This window comes from Homo sapiens, chromosome 11 (genome assembly GCF_000001405.40).
Source record: "Homo sapiens chromosome 11, GRCh38.p14 Primary Assembly".
Taxonomy (NCBI): Eukaryota; Metazoa; Chordata; class Mammalia; order Primates; family Hominidae; genus Homo; species Homo sapiens.
In genome coordinates, this window is record NC_000011.10 from 50,275,596 (window position 1) to 50,298,544 (window position 22,949).

Here is a 22,949-nt window from a genome sequence, read left to right on the forward strand (position 1 = left end):
AGAGGAGGGTTGAATTATGAGAGTAAGACGAAAGATAAATAGAAACAGGATTGAAGAGTAGTTCAGAAAAACAAACATGCTATTGCCAAAGACAAGCAGGTACAGAAAAGGGCAGGTTTTAACAACTCTTTTAGGAATGGGAGAAAGATTGAAAGATGGAGATGAGTTAGTTTGGCTCACACTAAATTTAAAATATCTCCGGGGCACGGTTGTGAAGATATTACACGGAGAACTCAGGCAATTAACTCCGTCTCCAGCCTGGGATTTGTAAGCATTAGTAGTAGGAGACACATTACACGGAGGTGGATAAAGACTAAAAAGTATACTTTGAGATATGGGAATTACAAACCTATTCGTGATATTTGTGGGCATCAAACAAGTTTGCTCCTAAATAGTTCTCAAATCTTGGGACTTATCACGTTGAGACTGGGTTCTTTGAACTATATAAGAAGATGAGAAGAAAACCCATTTCCCGGAACCAAATTTCTAGTGACTGTTAACTCTTTCTCATTCTGGTTTGCCCACATATGAGCCTTTGCCAATATTAATAAAATAACATTGATCCATTTTAAAAATGGCAGATTGCAAGTTGTATGCCAGACTTTTCAGATGGCTGATGGGATTTCTAGAATAAAAATAGGAAACACTGAGTAATAGGTTTCACTGAAGGAAAGACTAGAGAAGCGTTACACACAAAATTGATGTGTATTCATGTGTGTGTGTCTGCCTGTCTGTGTCTGTGTGTGTGTGCATGTAAATGCTGGGGAGGATTATCTTGACTCTTTGATGCCATAAAAACAGTATTAGGACAGTTTGCAGAAACACTCCTTCATCCTTATGTCATGTCACACCCAGAGAAACCTGCCTGTCTATCAGATTCTTGGGAATTCACAATAAGAAAGTATGCTTTTTTGTTTGCCACATAAAAGGGGGGAATTTAAAATAATTAAATATCCATATCTATCTTCAGACTATCTACCAACATGATTGAAACATTTTTCTTTTTGCATATAATCTGTAGGATGAGCTCATTTAACACAGCATTCTTCTGAGGAATTAAACATTTAATTTTGAAGACAGAAGACCCTCATGTCATACATATTCAGTTTTGAAAACCTAAAAATATATAAAGTATCTTTTTAAATCTGCACTGTCCAATATGGTTACCATTACCACATTGGCTATTGAATGCTTGAAATTGCCCAGTCCAAGGTAAGATGTGTTGTAAATATAAAATACATACAGATTTCAAAGATGAAATATCACTTTTTAATATAAAATAACTCACTTATAATTTTAAGATGGATTACTTAAAATAATGTTTTTGTTATACAAGGCGATTTACATATATTAAAACTGGACATAAAAGATGGAAACAGTAAACACCGGGGACTACTAGGGAGTAGCCAGGAAGGGGAAAGGCTTGAAAAGCTAACTGTTGGATACTATGCTCACTACCCGGGTGATGGGATTAATCCCACCCCAACCCCAGCATCATGCGATATACCCATGTAACAATCCTGCACATGTATTCTTTTGATTCTTCGAAGCATGTTAGTCTCACATAGTCAAAAAATAAAACTGACTCAAGTGTGTGTGAAAATACCCTAAAATTCAATACAAATAGAGGCAAATTAAAACTGCATTGTGAAAGAATAACAACCCCATTGAAAGAACTGATTTAAGAAAATGCTTTACACAGTTCGTTGTTCTAATTGTAAGTACAAAAAGAAGAGGAAACAAATCTTAAACTCTATGTATAAGGGTTATTTTTTGTACAACTAAGGCTGTAGGAATTCTGAGATTTTGTGAGAATTTTAGGATTGGGAAAATGAGTGTGTGAGAGTAAGCAGGCTGTCACTGTAAGAGCAAGAAGGTAAAGAATAGTCCTGTTGGTGTTTATGGGAATTGGAGGCATCAGTAAGAAATTATACATATGTAATTGTATAGGCCAGGCATGGTGGTTCACACTTATAATCTCAGCACTTTGGGAGGCTGAGAGACGTGTGGATCACTTCAGGTCAGGAATTGAGAACACCCTGGCCAACATGGCGAAACCTCGTCTCTACTAAAAATACAAAAATTATCGGGTGTGGTGGCCACGCCTGTAGTCCCAGCTATTCGGGAGGCTGAGGCAGGATAATCGCTTGAATTCGGGAGGCGGACGTTGCAGCGAGCCAAGATCGCACCACTGCACTCCAGCCTGGGATAGTGAGTGAGACTCTGTCTCAAAAAAAAAAAAAAAAAGTACATTTTCCCTACAGATCTGTCTGCTAACTGGGCCTGGAAGAAATACCTCAGAAACAATGATCAAGATAACTCTATTTTTCAAACACCATTCTCTACTAAAAGGAACCAGACATACTAATAGAAAGTAGCTACTAGTGTTAACTACAGTGACTCCAGCAGGACAGTGCCAGGGAAACTACAAGATGAACCTAAGATATCTTGCTGTGCCAGAATGATGGGGATGATTTAAAAGAACAAAGAAGCGCCGGGGTGGCTCACGCCTGTAATGCCAGCACTTTGGGAGACCTAGGCAGGCGGATCACCTGAGGTTCCAGACCTGCCTGGCCAATATGGTGAAGCCCCATCTCTACTAAAAATACAGACTGGCCTGGCGTGGTGGCACATGCCTCTAATCCCAGCTACTTGGGAAGCAGAGGCAAGAAAATCACTTGAACCCGGGAGGCGGAGTTTGCAGTGAGCCGAGATCGCACCACTGCACTCCAGCCTGGACAACAGGGCGAGACCCGTCTCAATAAATAAATAAATAATGAAGTCCATGAGAAAAATCATTGTATGTGTGTTTAGGCGTAAAGAGAGAGGAGAATCATTGTGGCAAAATATTGGGAATTGCTAAACCTGAGTAACGTGTGTATGGTAGTTCTTTGTATTATTTTTGCAACTTTTCTGTAGGCTTGAAATAATTTCAAACTAAAAAGGTTTTTTAATTCTCCCTTCTCAAATTTATTTTCCCTCTTCCTTCAAGGACTGTACTCTTCCATCAAGAGTAACGTAGATGGATACTAAAACAGAAGGGTCAGTACCGCCTCAGGGGATTTAGGTCCAGGTGAGGAGGTGAGAAAGTGGAATTCCGAACTCTTAGAAATGAAGACCCAGGAGCGTGGGTCGCTGCCCATCCTTACCCTCGCCGGTGACTGGGCCAGCACTGTGGTCGCAAAACCCAGCATGGATTTCATCTTGGGGATGCTGTGGTTCCAGTTCTGACACTCAAGAAACGACAGACGGAGAGAAGAACGAGGACCACCTACGAAAAGAGCTCGAGAGGGAAGCAGGGACGTGGTGGGGTGTGCACCTGCTGTAGCGGCGGCAAAGGCGGAGGAGAAACGAAGTGGGTGAGCGCCCGAGGCTGCCAGAGGATCTGGGTGGGCAGGGAGGCTGACTGCAGCCCCGAAGCCCATCGCTGCGTTTCCTCGGTGTCTGCGATAAACGAGAGGGCTCATTCCCTGTAGGAGAAGTGAGCTGAAAACACTTTCCCGCAAGACCTCCCTCCTTTTGCTCAAGGCAGTCGTGGCGTTGAGAACGCGTCACAGCTCCTTTACTGGCTGGGGCACTGGGGAGCACAGGTACCCTTGAGTTTTGGTACAGGCGAGTGGTATTGGTGGCTTCCGAGAAACTACAGAGAAACCACCTATTTCCAATCCCTACTGTTCCTGAGGGAGAGAGTGTTGAACCGGGAAGAGAGACCACCCTCCTGCTTAAGCACCTTTGTTACAGATAGGAAGAGTGTTCTTTGCTTTTGTTTTAGCTTTTCAAGCTTGGAATACAAGTTATGAAAAACAAGAAAGGTAAGGCAGTCCCAGTATATTTTAAACTTAAGATGGTTTTCAGAAGTACTACCTTTTTATGGAATTCACGGTGTCCACATTTCAACCTACCTAGCAGAGTGAAGCTCTATGAGTCTAATATCTTGGCTTTCTTCCACATCAGCAAGCCTCTGAAATTCAGGTTTCTTTCTGGACAATATCACCTACACTTTTGCAGTGGGCTCCTATATTGCCTACGTCCAACTCGTGGAAGCATGAACAGTGGGAAAAGCCAAGGTTACCACATAAAAAAAGATCCTTACATGAGACATGTGGAAATAAAGCAGCAGCTGAGGTGTGTGTAGAGGAAGAGACAAACATGAAAATGTAGAAAGTGGATAGATAATTTTTTCCAAGGAGGAAGAGGAATGGTCTGCTCACAACAAGGAACTCTCTACTTAGTGCTGCGAAGATACTTTTATTACATTTCATGCATACACTGGATTTTAACAACCAGAACATGGTGTAATTGGTGGGGGCTGGAGAGACAGCAGTCACTCCCAACCCTGAGGGTGAGTCCCCAACCTGAGGGTGAAGAGAAAATGATTACAGTCTCTGCCATAGAGCTTAGAATCATCCAAACCTGGGTTTCAAATTGAAAGGCCCAAATAGCTTGAGAGGGCTCCAGGTATTTCAGCTCAAAATAGTCTCCTGGTTCAAGAGAACTCCTGTGAGGTCTTCCACAGGAAAATCAGTCTGTTGTGTGTGACCGGAAAAGTTACCTAAAAGATTGAAGGAGTCAAAGAAATGGTAAATCCAACCCACCCCTGATGTAAGGCGAATACAAACCTCACTGGCTTTCCTAAGTTTGAGTTTTTTATTGAGAATAGGCAGGGAATCCCAGGAACAATTCTTCCTCCTCAGCAGGTGCCTGACCCTGGGACCTCCTGAAACTTCTAGAGCAGTGCTTCGCTAACTTTAGCATCAGAGTCAATTGAAGGCTTATTCAAACACGGGAGCCTGAGCTCCATACTCAGCAGTTCTGATTCAACAGACATAAGGTTGGGCCTGAAATTTATTATTCTGCTTGCAGCACCCTAATCCCCCACCCCTTGCTCTCCTGTGCAGTGTCCACTGTGGCTAACATGCCACCAATTGCCTGGAGAGAACCAATGGATACCAGGAAATTAAAGAAGAAAAAGTATGAAACAAAAAGAAAATACATGGCATGTGTGTATTACCTTCCTCCAAAAAATGTATCTCAAAACAAACATATGATTGGTCTGGAGGCACACACACAGCCAGTCCTCGGCTAAGCAGGTTTCACCAACAGTATCCCTCTTGGATGCTGGTTATAGATATTTTCACTGGACAAAAGAATCAAGTAAGGGCATGTCAGCCTCATAGAGTGTATCTATCATGCCAGCCTGATAGGCTGGTAGGCTAGGAACAAACATCATACTCTCTTGCCTCTCAAAGACACTTTAATTCAACAGGAAGTAAGTACAGAGGGAACAGCAGTTTTGAAACCATACACCATTGGAAACCCTAAAAGGTATCTTGAGTGCATAGGATTTCTTGGGAGTTTGTTGTGGGAAGTCAGGGACCCCGAACGGAAGGACCACCTGGAGCCGTGGCAGAGAAACATACATTGTGAAGATTTCATTTTAATATGGACATTTAATATGTCCATTATTATGTCCAATAATACTTTCATAATTTATTACACCTGTAATCTCTTAATCCTGTTATCTTCGTAAGCTGAGGATGTACATCACCTCAGGACCACTGTGATAACTGTGTTAACTGTAAAGACTGACTGTAAAACATGTGTGTTTGAACAATATGAAATCACTGCACCTTGAAAAAGAACAGAATAACAGCAATTTTTAGGGAAGAAGGGAAGATAACCATAAGGTCTGACTGCCTGTGGGGTCAGGCAAAAAGAGCCATATTTTTCTTCTTGCAGAGAGCCTATAAACAGATGTGCAAGTAGGGAAGATATCGCTAAATTCTTTTCCTAGCAAGGAATATTGATATTAATACTCTGGGAAAGGAATGCATTCCTGGGCGGGAAGTCTATAAACAGCCATTCTGGGAATGTCTGTCCTATTCGGTTGAGATAAGGACTGAGATATGCCCTGGTCTCCTGCAGTACCCTCAGGCTTACTAGGATTGGGAAACTCCATCCTGGTAAATTTGTGGTCAGACCGGTTCTCTGCTCTCAAATCCTGTTTTCTGTTGTTTAAAATGTTTATCAAGAAAATACGTGCACCTGAACATAGACCCTTATCAGAAGTCCTGCCTTTTGCCCTTCGTCCTGTTTCCTCAGAAGCATGTGAACTTTGTTCTGCTTTTTGCCCTTTGAAGCATGTGATCTTTGTACCTACCTATGCCCTGTTCGTACACCCCCTCCCCTTTTGAAATCCTTAATAAAAACTTGCTGGTTTTGAGGCTTGGGTAGGCATCACAGTCCTACCGATATGTGATGTCAGCCCCGGTGGCCCAGCTGTAAAATTCCTCTCTTTGTACTCTTTCTCTTTCTTTCTCAGCTGGCTGACACTTATGGAAAACAGAAAAAAACCTACGTTGAAATATTGGGAGTGGGTTCCCCCGATATTTTTTTCGTTTTTTTTTTTTTGATACAGGGTCTCACTTTGTCTCCCAGGCTGGATGGAGTGCGGTGGTACAATCTCAGCTCACTACAACCTCTGCCTTTCATGCTCAAACCATCCTCCCGCCTCAGCCTCCTGAGTAGCTGAGACTACAGGCATGCACCACCACGCCCAACTATTTTTTGTATTTTTAGTAGAGACGAGGTTTCGCCATGTTGCTCAGGCCAGTCTTGAACTCCTGAGCTTAAGCAATTCTCCCATCTTGGCCTCCCAAAGCGCTGGGATTACGGGTGTGAGCCACTGCGCCTGGCCTAATTTTAATTATTATATATTACACGCATCACTGAAAAATCATTAAAGGTTCTAAGGAAGAATACTTACAGGAAATGTTTGCATGAATGTGTAAAATAAAAGTAAGGTGAATTTACTAATTGTTAAGCTATTTTTGTTAGTGTCATCTAACATTTTAGATAATGAATGATTTTCCCTTTCACTAAAATCACTTTCACTTCTATATGACTACATAATTCTGATTTTTTCCAGGTTATAAAAGTCTTTATTTCCATTTAATTAAATATGCTTTATCCTTTTATGATTCAACCCACTCCTCCATTCTCAAAATAATTTGGTAATTAGCAATACAGTTTCCCCACAGTTTCAGGAATTTGTCTCTTCCATTTCCCATCACTGATACCATAACTCTCTCTTCTCCTCTTTTCTTTCCCTATTTGATTTCTGAAACACCCATCTCCACACCCAGAAAATATTTGTATAGTTTTCCTCCTTTCCATTGTCTTCCTTGGTTTACCTAAGTCTCTTAATTAGCAAAGACTTCTTTGAACTTGCCTCTTTCTTAGAAGAAAACACTATTTCTTTGACCTGCAAAATTTCAATTACTTGGGATTTACAGACATCTATCTGCAATACTGGTATTGTATTTCCTTCCTTCAAGTACTTATTAAATATCCACTAGATGCCTTTGTCATAAAGACATGAGCTAAATTAAATATACATCTTTTTAACAATATATAACTTTAGAATTTTTAGGCATAAAAGTCTTGCTGGTCTGCTATATTAATTCTTCCTGCAGGCATGGTCGGTTTGCTCTGGAATGCTTACACTAGGGAGGCCCCTTACTAGCTGCCAGGCTGTGAACTTTTGAATATTCAAAGTAGCCTCTGGGCCGGGTGGGCATGGTGGCTCACGCCTGTAATCCCAGGACTGTGGGAGGCCGAGGCAGGCGGCTCACTTGAGGTCAGGAGTTTGAGACCAGCCTGGCGAACATGGTGAAACCTCATCTCTACTAAAAATACAAAAATTAGCCGGGTGTGGTGGTGCACGCCTGTAATCCCAGCTACTCGGGAGGCTGAGGCAGGAGAATTGCTTGAACTTGGGAGGTGGAGGTTGCAGTGAGCCAAAATCATGCCACTGCACTCCAGCCTGGGAAACAGAGCGAGACTCCTTCTCAATAAAGTAGCCTCTGGCTCAGTAACTAGATATCCCCTCTATGGCATTTTAGGTATGTAGGCAATTATTGATTGTATACTTTTAAAATACACAAGAAAAAGTTATAGAAAACCACCATGTCAAGCACTGGGCAAGTACCATAGAAGATTTAAAAACAAGAGGAATGCAATGGCAATTAGGATTTATTAAACATTCTCTACTTATATACTGTCATAGAAGATTATATTATTAATAGTTATTCTTTTGAAGTCACACCTTAAGAATGGAAGAGGAAGGGAATAGTTCATAATAGAGCCTGAAGTGTTGGATTCTCAAAACCCAGAGGATGACCTTCTCATGCATTTGCTCTTCTCTACTAAGTGAGGCCTGGTAACCCCAACTGCTGAATCAATCCTATCATGTAGTTCCTACCAAAAACACCTGCTCCTTTGAAAATAAAGATCAATTACATGCCAATTTCTTTAATTTCAAAATTCACTCTCATTTCTACTGTATTTCTTAAGGTAGAAGTTTGACTCTCTTAAAATTTCCCCCTCACTTCTCACTTGTGAGAATGACCTTCTTGTTATTCCACAATTTCTAATTATTATCCAGATTTATGTTACTACCTTTTTTTTACACAGCTAAAGAGATTCTTATGTTTTGGGAAAGTGGGTAGAGGTATGAAAATGAATAGATATCAACTTAAGACAGACATCTAAAGCTGGAGGATAAAGAGAGTATGTGGTAAAGATGTAGAGAAGCAAGAGAGAGAAGTGGGAAATGAGGAGTGAGGTAGGGAGAGGAAGGAATGTGCCTCAACATGAAAACACTGAGGATCATTTTGATGCCCTTTTAGTTCCTTACCTACTAACATCTCTAGTCCTATTACACTATTTCTTCATGATTTCCTCTCTGCTGCTGCTTTTCTAATTCATTAGTAAGAGATCCTCTTTACTAGTCCTGGTCCTCTAATCAGGATGGTCTCAATGTCCTGCTCCCATAGGCTTTCCGTCTCTTTTTCAGCAGATGTGCAAGACACAATTTAAGGATTTTTTTCTTACCTGGTAGGAAGATTGATTTTGTTTACTATGTTCTAGTATGTAAAATGTGCCCTACTCACCAGCTACCAGGCTGTGCAACTTTTAACATTCAAATTCTAGCTTTTGACTCAAAAACTAGCCTTGGATTATATACTTTTCACACGGTTTTTACATTAAGAAAGAGTCTCTTCTATTTCACTTTCCATAGTTATTTCAGTATTAAACCTCAATACAAAGTATAATGACAAAGTACAGAGACTAATTTTCCTATGTATCCCTAGACACAAATTATTTTGTAACTTTTGCTCATGACTTCAAAACCTTGGAGAAAGAATCATCTACATGTAGCGCCTACTTCATTGCTAGACTGAAGATATAAATTTAAATAGCTACATTTATAGAAGGCAAAAAGTAAATCTGTCCAACTCTTATTTAGGGAAAGAAAATCTCATGCTATTTCCATGATTGCTTGCACTTACCTTATCAACATATTTCTTAGAATTGTAAAATAACAATGTTCACCATTTTCAACTGTAAGAAAAAAACAGACCACATATATTTCCACTAAGCCCAGTCTTTTCAAAAAATATTTCACCGGAACTTGGGGGGTAAAAACAAGGAGGGGAAATGCAAAACAGCTTAGATCAATTTTTTTGAGATTTAACACTAACATACTACTCAACGTAAGGGCATGACAGAGAAGTGTACTATATTATTGCCTTATTGTAGTTTAATCTTCAGAAATAGATACATAAACGTAACAAATGAGCTCTCCGGAAACAACTTTGAAATTTTGTAAGGGGAAACCATGTATTTTCTCATTATTGGCAAAAAATATATTTATTCTATAATACATTTAAAAAATTCAGTGGTGTAAGTGAAGGGAGAATCACTTTAGAAAAAATCTTAAGGTAACCAAAATGAAAAAGGGAGCCAAGAACTTTAAGGTTCTTTACTTTTATTTTTAAATAATGTATCACAAATACGAATATTACTTGAGAGTAGAAGGGTAAACTACAAAAGAGAGATGAAAATCAATTTCTCCGTTGCCTATTTTTAAGCAGTATGTAAGTTTTAAAGCCTCAGCTCAGCAACTGAAAGTTGCCTGGGCATGGCAGAGGGAACTGGGAACAAGGTACGGGGGTCACTGGTGGGAAAATTGCCAATAAGGACAGTAACTTGAAACAATATCCTAAAAATTAAAGAACTGTTCAAAATAAAACAGGGGCAGTGGTGTGTGCCTATAGTGACGTGATATGGGAGGAGCATGACGTGGGAAGATCACTTTGAGCTCAGGAGTTTGAGGCCAGTTGGGCAACACAGCAAGACCTTGTCTCTTAAAAAAAAAAAAAAAAAACAAAGTTCAAAAATCATAGCAACAAACATAAAACAATCATGTCTCAATTTTGGTTTCAGCTTACTGTAACACAGAAGATTAAATATCAGATTAAACAAATACAATAAACCTATTGCCAAGAGGAAGGACTTCTGAGGTTTGGTGTTATAACTAAGATTTTACTGGTATTTAAAACTCCTTACTTAACCCTTAATAATTTAAGATAGCAAGTTAAGAAACAAAAAACTCCTTACAAAACTAGTAAAGAGGATCTCCTACTAATGAAATTTTTTTACTCTAAATATGCAATGTCAAAAAGGGCAACTTTTGCATTGAGGAAAGGAGACTGTGAATGTTTTAACTGGACTTATACATTTTTAAAATAATTCTTGAGGGTCCATGACCCATCTGACATTCTGATAAAAGTGACTGGCCTTCTCTCCAAAATGTTTGATTCCAGGAGGTTCATTAGATTTCCTGGGAGCAAACTGTGGGCCCCAGGTAAAGAACCCCTGAATTTTAGGTATGTTTTCAAATAAGAAAACAGAAATAGACTTAATGATGAGGCAGAGATGCCAGCCTGGGTGGGGCAAGTTGAGTATCTCTTATTTGAAATGCTTGGGACCAGAAGTGTTTTGAATTTTTTTGGAATTCTGGAATATCTGTGTTATACTTACTGGTTGAGCATCCTTAATCCAAAAATCCAAAATTCAAAATGCTCCAGTGAGCGTTTCCTTTGAGCGGCATGTCAGTGCTCAAAACGTTTTAGATTTTGGAGCAATTCACATTTTGAATTTTCTCTTTAAGAATGTTCAACCTAGGCGGGGTGCGGTGGCTCATGCCTGTAATCCCAGCACTTTGGGAGGCTGAGGCGGGAGGATCATAAGGTCAGGAGTTTGAGACCAGCCTGGCCAATATGGTGAAACCCTGTCTCTACTAAAAATACCAAAATTAGCCAGGTGTGGTGGTGCACGCCTATAGTCCCAGCTACTCGGGAGGCTGAGGCAGAAGTATCATTTGAACTCGGGAGGCAGAGGTTGCAGTGAGCCGAGATCATGCCACTGCACTCCAGCCTGGGTGACAGAGGGAGACTCCATCTAAAAAAAAAAAGAATGTTCAACCTATACTACAACTTTAGGACTTAACACATACTTACCTGACTTAGTAGGATACAGGCATGAGCCACCACGCCCAGCCAATGCTAATATATTTTTTACCTTTTTCCTCCCAAGTATGGGACAACTTTCTGTAGTGATTTTTAGTAAATAATTTGCCCAGTATATTCTTGAATATTCTTAACTTTAAAGAGGAAATTTGGCAGGGCGCGGTGGCTCACGCCTGTAATCCCAGCACTCTGGGAGGCCAAGGCGGGCAGATCATGAGGTCAGGAGATTGAGACCATCATGGCTAACACGGCGAAACCCCGTCTCTACTAAAAATACAAAAAATTAGCCAAGCGTGCGGCATGTGCCTGTAGTACCAGCTGCTGGGGAGGCTGAGGCAGGAGAATGGCGTGAACCTGGGAGGCAGAGCTTGCGGTGAGCCGAGATCACACCACTGCACTCCAACCTGGGCAACAGAGCGAGACTCCGTCTCGAAGAAAGAAAGAAAAAAAAAAAAACACTTAAAACAGCCATATTTAAAAACTGACAAAGGATAAGGATACTATGATAATGGGTAAGAGCTTTGAGGGGAAAACTAAGGCAGAAGATTCAAGAGTTATTTTTAATACAGCATAAATGACAACACAGTAAAGCAGTAAGAGGAATGGATTGCAACACATTATACTAAAAATAGTAAAAACTGCAAATTATGAGAATGGTATAAGAAACCTGAGTTAACACATCCTGCTCACCTGTTTTTTAAACTGTTGGCATTCCTCTGGTGTGAGTGTGTCTGCTTTGGCAATAAGTGGGGTGATACTCACTTTTTCATGCAAACGCTTCATAAACTCAATATCCAATGGTTTAAGTCTGAAATACACAGTATTTAATACGACTGAATTGATCAGTTTGGGAGAACAAGATTCTTCACATCCCCAGTTAGATTTCAATTATCTTCAATTGGTCAACTGACTCTCAAATCTTCATACACAGCCCATATCTCACTGTTACGTTCCAGATTTGTGTTTACCCAGTGGATATGCTACCTGGGTGTTCCATGGGCTCCTTAAAATCAAAAGCTCATCTGAACCTCATTTTCTCTCTTCTATGCTTCCTATCTCAGTGAATGGCACTACAGTCTACCTAATTACTCAAGTGTGAAACCTAGGATTCCTCCCCTCCTCTAATCCTCTTCCCATATATATAGTATGTGTATAGATGTAAATATATATATATGTATGTATATCTCCATTTCCATTACTTTAGTCTAGGCCACCAAGACCTTTGGAATGAATAACTGTAATACAAACCATCCATACTGAAGTCAGAGTGGTCTTTCTAAATCCAAATCTTATTGAGTTATGCCCTAACCAAAAATCTTATTAAAGACCAGATGCCTTAACTAGTATGGCCTACAAAGCTTGTGAAGACATAGATTCTCCAGCTGACCTCATCTCTTAGCATTCCTAGCATTTCCTTTGCCTCCTACTTCCAATGTGCCAACCTTTTTGAACTTCTTACAATTCCTTGAAAGCACCATACTTTGACATCTGGCCACAGGCTACTACCTTGGCTGGAACACCCTCCATTATCATCCTGCTTCTCCTTGGCCTGGCTAATTCCTACTCATCCTCATGACACTGGTTTATGATCCAATTTCCACTGGGAATCCTTTTCCAACCTAATACTAGGCATATTTCTATGTGGTCACAACACTTAATGTGCTGTACAGTAATTGCCTGCCTGCATACAGATGCTTCCTCACTATGATTCCACTTAACAATTTTTCAAATTTTTGATAGTGTGCAAGCAATACACATTGAATAGAAACCATACAACCATTGTTTTTTACTTTCAGTATATTATTCAATAAATTACATGAGATATTCAAAATGTTATCGCAAAATAGGCTTTATGTTAGATGATTTTGTCCAACTGTAGGCTACGCTATAATGTTTAGTAGGCAAGGTGTATCAAACATATCTTCAACTTACGATGGGTTAATGTAACCCTGTCCCAAGTCGAAGAGCATCTGTATTTGTTTCTCCCATCTTCTCACTGAAATACTCTTCGCAGTGAGGGCCTTGTCTCATTCATCTGTATCCTCAGGACCTAGCATGGTATCTAACACTCGTGAAGGTGCCCAAATATCCGTTGAGGAAAAAGTAAGCTGCTGTGATTTTCCTTGTGTCCTTTAGCAATTCTAAATGAGAACCAAAGTCCTCAAATTTAGAATACACTGTGGACTAAAATTTTATGTTTCACAAGAATAAATGAAGACACTAGAAATATTTTGAAAAGGACTACCATTCTAAAGTGGTACTCCTTAATTTTTACAAAAACATGCGAAAAATGAAATAAAGGTCTCATTCTGTTATTAATTTTATTGACATACTAATAATTGAATTGACTGACATTTTAAAATGAAGAAAGAGAAACATATATACTAAAATTGGGGGGATCAGAGTCCTAAGACTAATAGGATAGTCCAGTCTTTTTACTAACAAAGATTACTGTATATACTTCACTGTGGTAGTAAGGCTGACAGGCAGAAAGAGACAGTGAGGGGGAGAAAGCAAACATGGAGAATTAAGATAGCGGTGTAGTCATAGCTCACCATAGCCTCCAATTCTTCCACTTTGACTCCTAAGTAGCTAGGACTACAGGAGTGTGCCTCCATGCCCAACTAATTTTTTTTTTTTTTTTGAGTTTCATTCTTATTGCCCAGTCTGGAGTGCAGTGGCACAATCTTGGCTCACAGCAACCTCTGCCTCCCGGGTTTGAGCGATTCTCCTGCCTCAGCCTCCCAAGTAGCTGGGATTACAGGCATCCGCCACCAAGCCCAGCTAATTTTTGTATTTTCAGCAGAGACGAGGTTTCACCATGTTGGCCAGGCTGGTCTTGAACTCCTGACCTCAGGTGATCCCCTGCCTCAGGCTCCCAAAGTGCTACGATTACAGGTGTGAGTCACTGCGCCCAGCCCCAACTAATTTTTTTTATTTTTTGTAGAGACAGGATGTCACTATGTTGCCTAGTCTGAGGCCTCAAGCAATCCTCCTGCCTTGGTCCCCAAAGTGCTGGGATTACAGGCGTAAGCCACTGCATCTGGCCTGAACCTATCCATCTTTGAAAAAAAAATTAAGTTTTGCTTCTTTTTATTAATCATTATATAAAACACTAAATAGAAATGCCATGAATTATTCAATCTCAGATTTCTAAATTGTTATGGTTTTTCAATTTATACTCATGACTAATTTAAATTGTCACTGCCTTATTAAGCTATTATGTCAGATACAAGCCTGCTTATTAATCCAGTGACAAAAAAGCAGAGTTCAATTAATCTAAAATTTTAATAAATCTTAAAGGCATTTAATATAAAGTATTAAAATCCAAATAACAAGATTTTATATTTAAACGCAAATCAATACTTGCTGAATACTTATTATAATATCCCAACTTTTAAAGATAAAAATATTTAAAAATAAACATGACAAGGAAATTAGAGAAGTCAACTTCTTAAATATAACCAAAGGGTCAAAAAACATTTAAGTCAGTTTAAAAATTAAACTTTAGGAGAAATGATAAACCTTGTAAAAGTCTCATTAAATTTCAGAAGCCTACAAAACGTCAGCAACAGAAAACATTTAGTTCACATGTATATTACATTCTGGTTGAATTTTTTTCTTCTGTCCTTTTAGTTTTATATTGGCTGGTCTTTTCACCAACAAATTTAGTTTGTAAATCTTGTTTTTAAGCAATAGAAAATCCTTTATCATTTCTAGAAGATAAACCCACACTAGAGAGAAAAGACTATTTAACCTCAAAGTCTACAGCATAATAAACTACAGGGTAAATGAAAAAATTTTTTTGTGTGTATGTATGTATTTCTAAGGGAAACAATCCTGTATAAAACTCACTGGATGACACCAGTTTTTCTAAAAGTGGTAATTAATACTTGAAGGATAAAACACTATTTTAAAATTCATGTTCCAAGTCAGTTTTTTACTTTAATAATAGTTACAAAATAAGGAACAACGCACATGAAGCAATAATAACTGAAATCATAAATTAGCCATGCATGCAGTTCATACTTTGTAGAGGGAGGTAGGAGGCACTGAAAGTACACTGTTGGACCAGGGTATCTGGAACTCTATACATAAAATTCTGTGTCATATTCTTTTTTTTGAGGAGGAGGAGTTTCACTCTTGTTGCCCAGGCTAGAGTGCAATGGTGTGATCTCGGCTCACTGTAACCTCCGCCTCCAAGGTTCAAGCGATTGTCCTGACTCAGCCTCCCTAGTAGCTCAGATTACAGACATGAACCACCACGGCCGGCTAATTTTGTATTTTTAGTAGACACGGGGTTTCTCCATGTTGGTCAGTCTGGTCTCGAACTCTCGACCTCAGGTGATCCGCCCGCCTCAGCCTCCCAAAGTGCTGGGATTACAGGCGTGAGCCACAGTGCCCGGCCTCATATTCTTTCACTTAATCCACAATATCATGTACCAATGGGCAAAACTTTGCTCCATTTCTAAAACTAGTTAAACTGAGAAATTATTCAAAGGCACATTTTATATATAAGATATAGCAATTTTAAACATCTTACCCCTTGTGACAAATAAGAAATGGTGCAAAGCCACTAGATATCATTTGAATATAAAAACTTTTCTTTTAAAAAAGCTCTCATTTCCCATGCAATTTTAAGAAATAAAATTTTCCGCAAAGGGATGGGAGGAATGTGATTTCATGAGAATTACTAAACTTGGAGAGAGTCCAGATCTAAAATAATAAAATTGGTTATAAGCTGACAAATTTTATTGACTTAACTGCAGGTTAAGATTTCACTCAGAAGGCTTTCAGGAAAAGGCCCTGACAAGTTAAATGAGAAAGATTTAAAAACATAAATTCAAGAAGCTACATAAATACTCATAAAAGGTTATACAGTGTGCTGTATTTTTGAGATTACTTTTTTTGAGCCTTTTAAGTCAAAGAGTCAGTTTAGTGATTTAAATATGTAAACTGAGAACACCGTTAAATGATAGACTGGATTAAGAAAATGTAGCATATATACACCATGGAATACTATGCAGCCATAAAAAGGATGAGTTGATGTCCCTTGTAGGGACATGGATGAAGCTAGAAACCATCATTCTGAGCAAACTATCACAAGGACAGAAAACCAAACACCACATGTTCTCACTCATAGGTGGGAATTGAACAATGAGAACACTTCGACAGAGGGTGGGGAACATCACACATCGGGGCCTGTCATGGGGTGGGGGGGATGGGGGAGGGATAGCATTAGGAGAAATACCTAATGTAAATGACGAGTTAATGGGAGCAGCAAACCAACATGGCACATGTATACATATGTAACCAACCTGCACGTTGTGCACATGTACCCTAAAACTTAAAGTATAACAATAATAAAAACTGAAATTTCCTCAACAAAAGGCAATGTGAAGTAGTTACAAACATGTACTACACAATCCTGCCTGAAGGTTGGAGTCTTCAGTTATGTAATGGTCTAGGGCACAGCAAAAAAATAAAATAAAAATAAAAAAAGAGTATTAGACATAAAAGAAGAAACATTTTTACCCCACTCCAATCTGACAGTGCAAAAATATAAGTATATAATTAAGGCTGCCTTATCTATCTAGAGTGATAATGGGCATTGACCCATCCATTAAAAAAAAAAAAAAAGAGAGAGTGAGAAGCCAAAAATTGAAGAGAAAGGTATACTTGAAGGAATTGGTTTACACTACTACTGTAATGTGAGCATTAGATAACTTAATGCTGTTTAGCCTGATGATATTACAGTTCTTTCAGTGGAGAGATGGTGGAGTTACAATTATCAGGTGGCTGAATTATGTATGCTGAGTTACTTACCCAAAGGAAAAGACTGAGGAATAATAATTGCAAAAATCTGCAGTTGTCAATGACACATATATGTACTCAAAATAAAGGGGAAGTACAAACAACAAAAAAAGGGAGTACAGGCTAACTATAACAGAACAATCACATCAGATTAATGTCTAGTTTCTTAGGTCTTATGCCTTAATAAACAAAAAGTTAGTAATGACAATATGATACCTAAACGACATGTCTATGACAGCTAAGGTGAAACAGAAGCCAAATAGATTTATTGCAGAAAGAAATGGCACAAGAAAACATTGGCATGCAAGTGCTTTTGATAACCATCTCTTATGAGACTTATAATAAATAGCATCTTTGATTTTGAATATATCTAACTGGTATGGCTGCTTGTCTTCATTTGGTAGTTCAATTAGTAGCAGAGTGGTCAACATGAAAGCTAAATTTGCTACATTGAGACCTCAAACCATGGTGGCAACACTGTTTATTTCCATGAAGCAGGGAAAATCCTTATGAATAAAGAACTAAGGAGTAAAATCACTTAGCTTATACAGGACTTAAAAAGGCTTTTCAACTAAGACATTTCTACATGAAATTTGGTACTTCATAATGGGATAGTTGTATGTACTTCACAAACTTCAAGATTACTAAAATATGCACATACAGATAACAGTAAGCAACAACAACAAAAAGGAATCAGAAGTATCAAGGTACTGACCCATGTCCTGAAGGAGCAATGAAGTATGAACAACACTGCACCCTGTTATCAGGCATCTGATGTCTGTTCACGCATGATTCTGCATTTAGGTAGTCCTCAAATTTACTATCAATGTAATCGATAACAGGCTGCCAGCTATAGAATGCAAATAAACAATTAAGTTGCAATTCTACATATGAATTAACTGATGACTGTTAACGGACAATAATCAATATTTTCAAATAGGCAAAATGAATTTACCAGTGGAAGACATGTCCAGTTAGTCTATATAAAGATTCAAAAATATAAATTATGTTGAATAAATCTTTATTCATTATTTCAAAACGTTTCAAATGAAAGAAAATAAACTATTGTCGAAACACAGCTAAATTATTAGCATATTATTTGCACTAATAACACACTTCATAATATGAAAACAATTATATTCAGTCTTAAATTTCAAATGAGAGATTACTTTAAATAATATAAAAACTTCATGATGAACTTAGGAGTTTTAAGAGTTGACAGAAAAATACCTCAAAAACAATGTGAATTCAAACAAAAATAAAAGTATTATTTATAAAATACTAAGATAATTACTTCAGACTAAAATTTCATAGTTGTTTTCTTCACTTAGGACTTACGGAAAAACTGAAGGTCTAAATATCAGGTTTAAATTAGGATTGAGATAGAATTTATACAAATGGATAAAATTAAAGCAAACAGTTTTAAATTTCTTACAATAATGAGAATTCTTCTATCTAGCTACATTATTTTAGAGTACGTCTTAAAAACAATTTTATGATAGGTATTATCTCCATTTTATAGAAAAGTAAATGGGTTTAAAGAAGTTAAACAACTTTATCAAATAAGTGGCAAAGTTCGTATACAGACCCAAGTCATGTTACTTGAAGTTCGGTGACCTTTGCTAAGATGAGAAGTGACTACAGGCTGCTGTACCATTTAATAAGAAGTGCACATCTAGAGTCTAGTCCCTTGCTCTATAAAGTGTGATCTACCCCAACCAGCAGCATCAGTATCACCTGGAATCTTGTTAGAAATGTAGAAATACAGCCCATCTCAGACCTACTAGAAGAACTAAATTTCACAGGATACCTAGGATTGGAATGCATAGCAAAGACTGAGAAGCAGTAAATTAGATCACATATAACTTGGGAGTCTTACAGAATTGCAATTGCCATTCAACTATGATATGGTATTATCCCACTGACTAATATAGAACACTGTATTTAAATAACAATAGCTTTTCTAAAAATCATGTTTTCTCTACATCATCCAATGCAATTTCCTGCAATGATGAAAATCTTCATATATGTGCTGCACAAAATGGCAGCCACTTGCCACATGTGGCTGTTGAGCACTTGAAATGTATCTGGAGCAAACAAGAAATTGCATTTTTAATTTAATTAATTTTAATTGATTTATACACATGGCAAATGACTATCATACTAGACAGCACAACTCCAGGGGAACTGGTTACTATGTCACAGTGCCATCTCTAGGAGAGTCCTTAGGACAAATTTGGAAAGTTCTAGTAAAGATAATTCTTCTGATTAACTGTACTTCTTTTTTTTTTAAATTTTATGAAGTCATATTTATCATCTTACACTGGCTAAGCCCAAGTTTGCATCTTACCTCTAAGGAAGCATAATAAAAGTTACAACATGTGCTTTGTGTGTATTAATATTATTCCAGCTTATCATCAATTAACAATACTAATATCCATACCTGTACAGTCTTTTTAATTCTGTGAGAAGGACCTGGATACTCTGGAGAATACAAATCTATGAGGAATAATGAGTTGATTAATGTCGACTTTCCCAATCCACATTCGCCTAAAAGAAATAAGGGAAAATATCTGTTAAACTCACCCACTTTACTCAACCTTAAATATTCAACAGATGCTAGAATCGAACTGGCTTTATGCAAGTACTTCTTGGTGAGACAATGAAATGACTTTAGAAAATATGCTACAAAGAATAAGTATCTTCTCCTCAGTTTCTTAGCTATCAAATTAAACTAATGTTTCCAAGGATTCTTTTCAGCCTTCTAATTACACCACTTATATTCATTAAAAATAATGTATCTAATAATCTACATTGTTAACAGTAATGTATTCCCAAAGAAAAATGTCAGTCATTATTAAAAAACCCAACTTGGATTATATATCACTGTTTTAGTGAAATAAAGTTTTTCTTTATTAATAGATAATAATCAATGAATAATAAACAAGAAATCATGCAGCTATAAAAAGCAAAAATCTGCTAATACAAAGAATAATTAATCACAATGAACATCTCCGTATAAAATTCTAAATCACAAAAAATACTTTCTAATTTAGCCACCCATCAGCCTAAATATAAGGGTGCTTCTCCACAAACCAGAATCCAAAAAATCTTAGGTAATTACTTTTTCTACTGCTTCTACTTGAGGTAGGAGGTAGACAAGAAGGAAGCCAGAGCATGATTTCTACTCTGATCACATACTCTTTTTTGACTCTCCATGTCTAGTCCAATACACATAGTCTAGTGTATAGTAACCATTACAAGTATACCAAAATATAAATGGCTTCAAGGTACATATAACCTAAGGTTAAAACAAATTATAAATCATATTATGATAATTAACATGGCACAAAGTATTTACTGTTAATAATTCACTTAGCATAATAGGCATGTTTAGCCTAAGTAACTGATGTCACAATGCTTCTATCTAGGAGGAATTCTTTTTATATTAGCTCTCAAGAGAGATAAGATCCTTTCCACGTGGTTTGGGCTTGCCCCTTTGACTGAGAGCATGCCATTTTTTACTAGAGGTTGATGTATGACTCAACTCAGAGTCGAGTATGAAAAGTGGGGATAATAGCACCTGCCTGTACCCTGGTACAGATCATATGATGTTGACTTATTTACTTGTGGAGTCAGGGTCTCTCTCTGTTGCCCAGGCTGGAGTGCAGTGGCACGATCATGGCTCACTGCAGCCTTGAACTCCTGGGTGTGGTGGTGCGCACCTGTAGTCCCAGCTACTCGGGAGGCTGAGGCAGGAGAATCGCTTGAACTCAGGAGGCAGAGGTTGCAGTGAGCCAAGATCACGCCACTGCACTCCAGCCTGGTGACAAAGCAAGACTCCATCTCAGGAAAACAAAACAAAACAAAATTAAATTAAGAAGTTCTAGTATCTAAATGAGCAAAATCACCAGGCACAGTGGGTCACACTTGTAATCCCAGCACTTTGGGATGCCGAGGTGGGTGGACCATCTGAAGTTAGGAGTTTGAGACCAGCCTGCAGTGAGCCAAGATTGCACCACTGCACTCCAGCCTAGGAGACAGAGTGATACTCCATTTCAAAAAAAGAATTAGCCAAGGGTGGTAGCATGCACCTGTAGTCAGTCCTAGCTACTGGGGAGGCTGACGGGGAAGGATTCCTTGAGCCATGATTGCGCCACCTCACTCCAGCCAGGGCAATAGAGCAAGGCCCTGTCTCAAGAAAAACACACACACACATACACACAAACAAAACACATAACAGGACAGAACAGCATCATTTCCTTATCATTAGTATGAAGAAGTGAATTGCCTGTAAAAGTTTCCATTTTCAAAAAAAGCATTAAAATATAGCATAAGGCCAGGCACGATGGCTCGTTCCTGTAATCCCAGCACTTTGGGAGGCTGAAATGGATTGCCTGAGCCCAGGAGGTGGAGGCTGCAGCGAGGATTGAGGCTCAAGAGATCCTCCCGCCTCAGTCCCGCAAGCAGCAGGGACTACAAGCGCTTGCCACCATGCCCAGCTAATTGTTTGTATTTTTGTAGAGACAGGGTTTCACCATGTTGCCCAAGCTAGTCTGGAACTCCTGAGCTCAAGCGATCCGCCGGCCTCGGCCCCTCAAAGTGCTGGGATTACAGGCGTGAGTCACCAGTCCTGGCCCAATTACTTTCTTCAATCTGAGCATGAGCGCTGGAAGAAAAGCTCTCACATATAATTTTTTAGAGACAGAGTCTCCCTCTGTCACACAGACTGGAGTGCAATGGCACAATTTCGGCTCACTGTAACCTCAACCTCCCGTGCTTGATCGCTTATATAATCTCTGCTCACTGTAATCTCAACCTCCCGGGCTGGATTCCATATATATAAATACATACATATATTTGTTTGTTTAGACGTTATCTCAGTCTGTCCAACAGGCTGGAGTGCAGTGGCGCGATCTCGGCCCACTGCAACCTCCGCCTCCCGGGTTCAAACAATTCTCTGCCTCAGCCTCCCGAGTAGCTGGGATTACAGGCGCCCGCCACCACGCCCGGCTAATTTTTGTGTTTTTAGTAGAGACGGGGTTTCACCATGCTGGCCAGGCTGGTCTTGAACTCCTGACCTCGTGATCCACCCGCCTCGGCCTACCAAAGCGCTGGGATTACAGGCGTGGGCCACCGCTCCCGGCCGATTGCTTATATTTTTAAAAAGATGTTTTCTTCGTTTCCTAGCCCCTTCTAACCCGCTACAAAGTTTCAAAGGCTTAATGCTATCGCAAAGGGCCTTCAGAGGTCAAGCTCGGGGGTGCAGCTCCCTAATGAGAGGCAGCCTGAGAGGGGACCGACCCCGCCCAGGATGAGTGGCGCCAGGTAGCGGGGGGACGCTCCCGGGGGTCCCCGGGCCCTGGCTGGGGGAGGTGTTGTGGGGCGCACGTACCCAAGCTCAGGTGGGACGACTGCGCGGCCGCGGCTGCAGCTGGCGCTGGCCATTGAGGGGCTTCTGCGCCACCGTGCGATGGTGCCCGCCAGGTGCCTGCCGGTTGGTGCGCAGCGCCTGTTCGCGCAGAGTCTGGCCTTTGCTGCGCCCGGCCAAGTCGTAAATCTCCTCCTCGTAGCTTACAGGCGACGGCGGCCAGGCCGAAGCCTCTGGACACAGAAGCGCTAGTTCAGCGGCGGGTTACAGCCCGCCCGGCCGCCTGCGGCCAGTCATCCGCACATGCGCCCTCCTGGAAGCCCCAGCAGCCCCTCCGCGAGTTCCGATTGGCTCCGCGTGAGAGACGTTCCTCGGCGACGCCATAGAGG

The 22,949-nt window shown here is 39.6% G+C and overlaps 1 pseudogene across 1 annotated transcript; it reads right to left on the reverse strand.

The window, feature by feature from the left end:
* Positions 1-4,232: 4,232 nt before the first annotated feature.
* On the reverse strand, positions 4,233-22,867 carry SEPTIN7P11 (septin 7 pseudogene 11; annotated as a pseudogene). The gene is made up of 6 exons (NR_003034.2): positions 22,585-22,867; positions 19,633-19,739; positions 17,905-18,039; positions 12,066-12,183; positions 9,354-9,405; positions 4,233-4,552 (listed from the first exon to the last, which is right to left on the reverse strand). The product of NR_003034.2 is annotated as a septin 7 pseudogene 11 (transcript).
* Between the last annotated feature and the right edge of the window lie 82 nt (positions 22,868-22,949).